Source organism: Homo sapiens, chromosome 9 (assembly GCF_000001405.40).
Source record: "Homo sapiens chromosome 9, GRCh38.p14 Primary Assembly".
NCBI lineage: Eukaryota > Metazoa > Chordata > Mammalia > Primates > Hominidae > Homo > Homo sapiens.
The window spans coordinates 69246145-69255632 of record NC_000009.12 but is presented as its reverse complement, the minus strand read 5'-3'; the positions used below and the strand labels follow the sequence as shown (position 1 = coordinate 69255632).

General features: G+C 43.8%; 1 protein-coding gene across 20 annotated transcripts in view; it reads right to left on the bottom strand.

The window, feature by feature from the left end:
• TJP2 (tight junction protein 2) overlaps positions 425-9488 on the bottom strand; it is a 133945-nt gene continuing 124881 nt past the window's right edge. For 9 of the 20 annotated variants that reach the window (XM_011519206.3, XM_011519208.3, XM_047424090.1 and 6 more), the window contains 6 exons: positions 8843-8943; positions 7409-7621; positions 6148-6258; positions 4269-4598; positions 2733-2818; positions 425-1424 (listed from right to left, as the gene is read on the bottom strand). In XM_011519206.3, the coding sequence (XP_011517508.1) occupies positions 1259-1424; positions 2733-2818; positions 4269-4598; positions 6148-6258; positions 7409-7621; positions 8843-8943 (1007 nt within the window). In that variant the 3' untranslated portion in view covers positions 425-1258. The remainder of the gene's footprint in view (positions 1425-2732; positions 2819-4268; positions 4599-6147; positions 6259-7408; positions 7622-8842; positions 8944-9488) is intronic. The other 11 variants (NM_001369870.1, NM_001369871.1, NM_001170416.2 and 8 more) reach the window with 6 other exon arrangements.

The following is a 9488-nucleotide window of genomic DNA, read 5'->3' as shown; positions in this document are numbered from 1 at the left end:
AAAAAGGCAAACAACTGGAAATAATCCGAACAGCCAACAACAGAATTGTTCACTTATGAAGCAGCCATGGGATATATTGCTCTGTGGTTGTTAATGATGATGTGTACACCACGCTTTAAATACCTTGCTGCACAGTTGTAACCACTTGAGAAATGTTAGTGATAGAATGATAAACAGAAAAAATAGGAAATAGAACTACAAACACAGTACACCCTCAAGTATCATACACACAGACATCCACAAATACGTAATTGGAGAAAATACACCAAAATTATCTGAGGGATGGGATTATGGGTATAATTTTCTTTTTCACGTTTCCATTTTCCAATGTTCGACAAGGAGGTTAGTAATCACTTCTATGATTAGTAACTGAAATAAAAGTTGCATTTAAAAATAGGAAGTAGCATACAAATCCACCACAAAGAAAATTACGGATTGCAATGTATTCCTTTTTATTAAATTATAAAACTGTTGTCAATACATGTGCTTTTGGAAATAGTGTTTTCCTCAAGTATCTGCTTTTGTGCAGCACTTGGGTTTAAACAAACAACAAATTTCGATACCAACTTCTTGGGCTTCAAGCTATTGAGCACTTATAGCCAAACTATCAAGTATAGTTATGATATAGACAGTCCAAATTTATGGAAAATATTACAAAGACAAATGCCTTGAAAAGATGACACAGTGCAGGGAAAACTACAGCTATTAAGCTGGTATAAAAACTTAGTCAAAATGTTTTAGTCCATTATGGCTCTGCCTAAAGCTTCAAAGGAAGAAAATTTAAGACACTTCTCATCCAAGGCACTTAAAAGAGTTGCAATAAAGTACTTCTTTGAATTTAGTTTGAGCCCAACAGTATTTTTTATTCCTTTTTCACATTCTGACTCACACTGAAACAGTCCTTGAAGGCAGCTATTAATGAGGAAAAATAGTTATTGCTTCTTAATATACATATTACAAGTACGCAAACAGAATACAGATTTCGGTCCACTGAAGCAAGTAACAGGATCTGACTGCAGTGTTCTGCTTAATTCTGAACAAAAAGCCACAGACTCCTCTAACCCAGTCCCACAAACAGAGCCCTCAGTTCTGAATTTGCACCAGCTGTCCCCTGGGTTCTCCATGAGGACACACGAGCTGGAGTCCCACCACGTCTCCATGGTGCATTCTAACTGGAGAAGAACCATCCCGGCGGCCTGGCAGGAGTGGCTAGTCTGATGCCATGCAGGCAGGCCTGGGAGAGTCCGTGCTCAGACATCTATAATTCTGTGTCCCGGTATCGGGCAGACTGGCCATAGTAACCGCGCTTGGAGTGTTCTGACAGCTGCTGGCGGTACTCCTCCTCCTCGGCATCACTGCCATAACTTCCTCTGGTATCCTGATAAGGTCTGGAAGGAGCTTTCTGTGGCTCAGGGGGTCTGGAACTAACAAAAAAAGGGTGTTAAAGACATTCCAGAGCACATCCATGTCCTCCGGCTGCCCGGGGAGGCATGGCTCTGAGCACAGTGACTGGGTATCCCGAGCAGATCACTTACCTCTGAGCCACATTCTGCAGAGCAACCAGGGCATCCCTGGTCCTGCTCCAGGTTCGTAATAGGTCAAATCCAATGCCCACTTCGGCGGTGAGTGAGGAAGCCAGCCAGGTGCTCCCTGACCTAAGAATCTCCCTGTTGGACAGGGGGTGCCCTCCTTACCCCTAAGCTCCCTGGCTAGTCTCACCCAGCAGCGAGGTCTCTGCCAGTTTCAGTCCATCATAACCAAGAACTCTTTGTTGCCAGAGGCAACCTGGTTGACTGTGTTACCACTCAGCTGGTAAAGAAGAAATTTGTTTCCAGTTTTCTATCACTGGAAAACTAGACTTCAGCTTCCAGTCAGAATGGCCACAAGAGGCTGGGTACAGTGGTTCACACCTGTAATCCTAGCACTTTGGGAGGCCGAGGCGGGCGGAGGTCAGGAGTTTGAGACCAGCCTGGCCAACATGGTGAAACCCTGTCTCTATTAAAAATACAAAAACTAGCTGGATATGGTGGCACACACCTGTAATCCCAGCTACCCGGGAGGCTGAGGCACGAGAATCGCTTGAACCTGAGAGACGGAGGTTGCAGTGAGCTGAGATTGCACCAGTGCACTTCAGCCTGGGCGACAGTCACTCTGTCTCCAAAAAAAACAAAAGAATGGCCACAAGAAAATGTGACTTTTTTTTTTCTATTCTCGGAAGCAGGAAGCAATCCAGTATAAAACTTCAACAGGAAGACACTGTGAACATTCCTACTGTTTGTGTGGCATTTACCAAGACTGCTCATTTGCTTGTCACGGTCCCTTTAGACCCCAGGGCAGCACAAGCGGTCTGACTTTGCTGGATGATGCAAAGGAATTAAGAAGTTTGGCTGAGAGTCAGCAAACAAGACAAAACAGGTCTAAGCCGTAGGAATTCTGCTCATGTGCTAACCATGTGCAATGTAACATAACCAGGCTCCAATGTGTCAAATGTACTGGCTGGAAACATCAATGATTACACTTTGTCAGAGTTTTAGCACACAAGCAAACTATGCTTAAGTTTTGACTCTGTAATCTTTACAATTAAATTTGATGGAATGAGTAAGGCAAACAGTCAATCTGTGGGGAAAAAATCCTCCTGTTACTCTGAAATTTGGGTAAAGGAAATTCTTTCTTCAAGTCCCAGTCCTTGAGAAGTCCCCGCCTTAGACCTGTACCCACTAGGCAGCCCTTACCTCGTGTGCTGGGGCGTGCCAGGGTCTGGCTTGTGCGTTTTGATTGGAACTGCATAGATATCAGGATGCTTCTGGGCAATTTCGATCTGTGGTAATTAAAAAAGAAAAGAATAAGAGTGAAAGAATGAACCACTGGGCACTCTGCTTGCTGGTTTCCTGCTGGTCCCACCCTTTCCCCATATCCTACTTATTTTCCCATCCCATTTCAAGAAGAGGAAACACAGAAGCGGCCTCCTCATTTCCATGGTTATGTGCGGTACACGTCAGACAGGAAAACTATTTAAAAGGAATGAAACTCTGACACATGCTACAACCTGGATGAACCTTGAGGACATCATGCTAAGGGAAATAAGCCAATCACAAAAAGACAAATAGTGTATGATTCTACTTATAGGAGGTTCCTACACTGTCCAATTCACAAAAAACAGAAAGTAAAGGAGTGGGTGCCAGGGACTGCGGGGAGAGGAGAGTGGTGAGTTAGTATTTTATGGGTACGGAGTTTCACGTGGGAAGGATAAAAAAGTTTTGGGGATGGATGGTGGTGATGGCTGAACAGCAATGTGAAGGTACTTAATGCCGCTGAACCGAACGTTTTAAAATGGTTGAGGCTGGGTGCAGTGACTCATGATTGTAATCCTAGCACTTTGGGAGGCTGAGGAGGGTGCATTGCTTGAGCCCAGGAGTTCGAGACCAGCCTAGCAACATGACAAAACCTTGTCTCTTCAAAAAATACGAAAAATTAGCTGGGTGCAGTGGCATGTGCCTGTGGTTACAGCTATTCAGGAGGCTGAGGTGGGAGTATCTCCTGAGCCTGAGAGGTGGAGGCTGCTGCGAGCTGTGATCACACTGCTACACTCCAGCCGGGGTGACAGAGGGAGACCCTGTCTCAAAACAAAACAAAACAAAACAAAATAAATAAAAGAAAAAAGTGGTTGAAATGGTAAATTTTATGTTATGTATATTTTACGACAAGAAAAGAAAAATGCTCAGATGTACTGCTGCTGTTGTGCTAGACCTGAAAGAAAACTCCCACATCTACTGGGCAAATATACTCCACAGACCTTTAGTTAAATTCTTCTTTGTTTGAAAAGTTCTATGTGCATATGGTATACAAATTCAAACAGCTCAAAAAGTACAATCTATGGGCCTTTCTGTTTTAGCACCCAGTTTGCTTGGTTTCTACGGCAAATCTGGGAGCCAATGAAGACACGTTTAAGAAAAAAAAATCACATTCTAATTAAAACGACTTCCGAGAGGCACTGATTCCCTCCTCACACTTCCTCATTCCAGAACTCTATACAAAGTTCTGTGTATAAAGAGCAGAATCTTCTTCCCCTATATTGTCAAGTTTTCTTCTTTGGAAGAACAAGGGACGTGCTGGGAGCTGGCAATCTGAAGTGACATACACAGCACCTGCCTTTGGTGCAGTGCATCCCTGCCACATCTGCAGCAGCAGCAAAGGGGCTGTTCGCTGTTATGTTGAAATCAAACTTATTTAAAACTCTTATTGATGATGTGTAGTTTAAAAACAATTACCCTTGCATTCTGTGCTTCCTGGAGCTCCTGCATTCTCTGTAACCTGGCCTTGTGATCCATCTTCTCAAATATTTTGACTTTGCCCAGGACTGATTTGGGAGCATTATCTTGCTCCTCACTGCTCTCTCCCACCTCCTCACCCTCTTGAGGAGGGATGGGAGTGGAGGGCTTCAGTATAGACCGCCCAAAGGTAGGTTTTGCTGCAACAGGAGGAGGATAACCTTTGGTAGATGCCCCAGGAGTTTCATTACCAGCAACGGCAGAGGGGTTTGACTTATATTCATAGGATTTGGAGAAGTCATAGGATTCTTCTTTGTTCTGGGTTTTGGCCTGCGGAGAGCAATGACACGTTTTCACCCTGGGCTTTTAAGTTTATTTTCAAATCTATATTAGTGATTTAATACACTCCATTTCCTGATCAGTTTCCAAAGGTGGTCCACAAATACCATTCTGACAAGGAATGTAATACAGCAGGGCAAACAGCCACTGGCCAGGCTTCCTGAGCCCTACCTCCCTTCCTATACTAGTCTATTAGGAATGTCAGGAAGCCAAAAAGGAATAGGGAAAGTGCTGGGAGGGCTGTGATTGCTGGAGGTAAGATCAGACCTGGAATAATTTTGTTCTAGAGGAGATCAGCATCTTGGAGAAGATCTCAGAACAATTCAGGCTTTGGGACTCGAAGAGTGGGCTTCTGAGGTCACTGCTGCACTGAGGGTACATGAGCCGGCCCAGGTGAGACCCATGTCCAGCTGAGGAATGAGACTGGGGTGGGGAGCGAGGAGAGCACTGCTTCACGCTAACAGCCACTTTTCCTTCACACTTCCAGTCTTGCCCGGCTTGCAAATTTTCGCTGATGTATTTTATGAGGTCACTTATTATTACTTAGTACCTATCACATTTACTACTTCTGATGGCTCACACAATCAATTATGGCTTTCTTCTCATCTAAATTATTGAGTTAGGCTGGGCGCAGTGGCTCACGCCTGTAATCCCAGCACTGTGGGAGGCCGAAGTGGGTGGATCACCTGAGGCCAGGAGTTCGAGACCAGCCTGGCCAACATGTCGAAACCCCATCTCTACTAAAAATACAAAAATTAGCTGAATATAGTGGTGCACACCTCTAAGTCCCAGCTACTCGGGAGGCTGAGGCAGGAGAATCACTTGAACCCAGGAGGTGGAGGTTGCAGTGAGCCGAGATTGCACCACTGCACTCCAGCCTGGGCAACAGAGTGAGACTCTGTCTCAAAAAATAGTAATAATAAATAATAAATTATTGAGTTAAATAGGTTTTATTCTGGTATAAGGAAAAACATAGAGTCACAGCTCTGATTCTGACTAAAGGTAAATAATCTTTTGATATAAGCCCTTGTGTCTTTATATTGATTCTGCTCTGGATAATGATTTATTAAACAAATAAGCAGCTCTCTTAATGAGAGGCATTGTAAGCAGTGGTGATGATTATTCTCTTTAGCACATCACCAGTAAGAATTATCTGGTGCATCTAAATCAGACTGGGCAGAAAACTTTAGCTGGACAGCAAAAGAAAAACACGTTCTGCGATTGGTGATTCTGGGTATACAGTACAGTATTTTTCAATCTTTTTCTTTACAATCTTTTTTTAACAAGAAGAGTAAATTAAATAAACACTAACAGTCCTAAAATCATATGCTCTCCTAATATTGCCTTTCCTTCCTTTTTGCCCTTCCCTAATTTGGGAGTTCACCCAACAGGCCAAAAGATAGGCTCTAATAGAGAACACAGTGAGTCAGAACCGTAATTAAACACCATCTCAGTGTGCATGCTCCTCCCTGGCCGTCCAGGAGGCTTCAGAGGCATCTGCTTCCTCTTCCTTCCCATCCTGGGCTTCCCAGCCACGTACCTTGGGCGGCTCTGGCTTGAATGCTGGGGGCGGGCTATTGTCCCTAAGTTGATCGCTGCTAGCAGCCCTCCTCATCTGAGCTCGTGGCTCTGGGCTGGGTTTCCTTATGCTCTACAAGACATAAAGGTTCATTCACAACAAGAACATCCAAGCAGAGAGAACAGAGCACTCGACTGCTTTGGAGGAGTTCTGCAAACTTGAGTAAGTCCAGAAGTTGAGGTTCTGAGCCGGTGCTTCTTTACTGAACAGGCAGAAACCATCACCAAATGCTTCAGACACATTTTTAAAAACTGGCTGCATCCAATGTAGAGTCTCTTCCTTTAAAGCACAATTTTTTAAGAACCCTCCAAAAGTCTAAAATCTCTTGTGTCACTAATATCCATGTCTATAGGCATTTGGAAGTTAATTTATTCTTTACAAGTTGTCTAGCATAAACTAATTTGTTGCTGTGGTAATGGTGTATTTTTCTCCCCCTTCAGTTTGTTGTTGTTGAACTTTTTTTTTTTTTTTTTTTTGGTAGTTCTATTTCATAAAGAAAAAAATCATTTACTGGAATGAGCTAAAATGCTAGAGAGAAATCCACAGCAATAATTATCCAAATATATGAACAATCCCATCTTCAAAGATCATTATTCCAACATTCTCTGAGGTGCAACTAATAATTGCTAACTTGGCTGTGACTTTACAGTGCCTGTCAATGTGATTTCAAGGATCCCATAAGCTATCTAATCACAGTGGATGCACAGTACATGTGATGTGATCAGATGAAGGTTTGATCATGAACTCAATTAAAAAACTGAAATATAAGAGAGAAGGAAACTGATGGGGAAACACTCAAGAGCTTTGGCAAGATTAGAAAGGTTAAAGGCAGGATGGGGAAGAAAAGCAAGGACATCTAAGAGTACAGAGAGAAACCTAATCAAAGGTTACAAGTACATACAACAATACTGCATGGGAAGGAAGGTTCCGCTGGTAATTTGGACAGACGGCACCTAAAGCCATTCTGTTTATCCATCGCACCTGAGGGCATGGGTGTGCGGAGTGCTGACCCCTCAAGCTCTTCTGAAGTCCACCTGCCTGCCCCACTTTCCCACAGACTGCAACCATGCCAGCGTGGACTCAAAGCGAGAGACTCCCTGGAAGTCATCTGCTCCAACCCTTAGGAATGCCTTCCACAGCACCCTGAACACACAGCTGTCCACGAGAGTGCAAGGAAAACACCAGGCTCTCCTGTTCCTGCCCGTGGCCTGCCTCGCCTCACCTCCTCGTGCTGCACCGGCTCCGAGGAGCGGGTGATGGACGACACCAGCGGCTCCTCGGCTGGCTCATCCAGCTCATTGTCAGTGTAGGCGCCTCCTTCACCGTCCGTGTCTTCAAAGTCACTGATGAGGCGGCTGTCGCAACTCAGATAGTCCGCGCCCATGGCGGTTAAGTAGGACATGCGGTCTTCGGGGTCATCATCCATCCCTTCCATCTAGAGGAATTTGTGTTGGACGGTCAGTGGGGTCTGATGTGGCTCCTGGGAGTGGGGACTCAAGAAAATTCCCAAGGACACAGCCAAGCGACTGAAACCTTGATGTGCTCGCCAGGGAAGGCATCTTTTATTTTTCTCCCTGAGATCACTTGGCTTTGGTACAATGTTGATATTATGGTCGTTTTTGTGCAGGAACTCAAATTAGGGGCCCTGCAGCCTATCTGTGCTACCATCCATCCTCCATACCGCGGCTAAGCCACACTTTCTCAGTCTGTCTTGCTTTTCTTCTGAATCCAGCTCCTCTGCAGCCTGTTCTCCTGGTACCACTCTCCTAGTAATATCAACACATTGCACGCTGCCTTGTGCTACACTCACATCCATGCCTCTACAAGATTCTCAGACCCTCAAAGGCAGAAGCTATGTCCTGTTCAACCTGTCCTCCCCAGGGAAGCTTGCATCCCCCTTCCAAACTGGAAGCACTCCATAGATGCCAGATACTTTGACTACACATCTAGTTCTCAAAGAGCAAAACTTAGTCAATTCTGCAACAAAATAGTCACTGTCAAGTCTCACAAAACTACCTCAGTTCAGCTGGTGAACAGGATACTAACACCAAAAGCTTCTAAAATAAAAGCGGCCACAGGTAATAGAATCTCCCTCTCTCCTCCCTGCAGCACAGCTGTGTGTGAGCTATCTCCCCGAGGGAGAAGCGATCCAATTCTAGAGGCCTAGACAAATTCCCTAACGTTCTCATATCACCCATTCAAACTCCCAGAACGATGGCACATTCTCAACCAACCTTATTTTCTAAGTAATTCTAACTCCATTAGCTTTTCTTTTTATTAATGTTTAGCCGTATTCTCCAAGTTGCTCAACCTCACCTCTCATCTGCACTCTAAGTTTCCCACGTCCTTAGTAAGCTGTGGAGCTCAGCATGAGATCTTGTAAGCTCTGATTAGTGTACTTGGAATATAACACTAGTTACTACATTAAAAGTGAAAGGGAAGTGAATGTAGGGCTGCACATGTCACATTCTGCTCTTCTTTTAAAAGTCCCTTCATTTTTATTACTTGGTCAGAGAATTTACGAAATTTCAAACTTGATTAGCACACATGTGAGCATCACTTCAAATGGGCATGGCTTGACTACATTCACTGCCCTCTTGAGAAAAGTTTCAGAACAGGGACTCTCACCTCATAGCAGCATATCTATGCCACATACCTTTCCTTCAGAGACCCAAACCGCTTCTCCTTGCTGATGCTGAATAGTGTCCTTTAAGCTGCCAAACCAGCTATCATTGGCTGAATTTAGGTTGATTGTAGCTATAGAAATATAAACAAAAAGGTCTGCATTAATTTCCAGAGGCATGTTTATTAAGGATGCTATTTGACATAATTTACACTCATTTCTGTGATATTTAAGACTATGGCAGACGCAAGAAGATGTTTGCACATCTTTGAATATTAAAACCCTTTTAATGAATGCAATTAAAACTACTAATCATGTAGCTGTTTGAGTTCACATTATAGGTGGATGTGATAAAGCTAAAAATAGATTTTTAGAATGTTTATTTTCAGAAAGGCTAACTTTTAAAAATGTTTTTAAGAACATGTGTTTTCGGCCAGGTGTGGTGGCTCATGCCTGTAATCTCAGCACTCTGGGAGGCTGAGGTGTATACACTAATTAGTATACACTAATATACTGTATTGGCTACCTCCAATAAAATACTAAAAGTAACACTTAAACATAAAGTTGTCCCTTGGTATCTGTAGAGGATTGGTTCCGGGACACCCCCCACTTGGATACCAAAATCCACAGATGCCGAGTATCTGATACAAAATGACACAGTATTTGCATATGACTTATG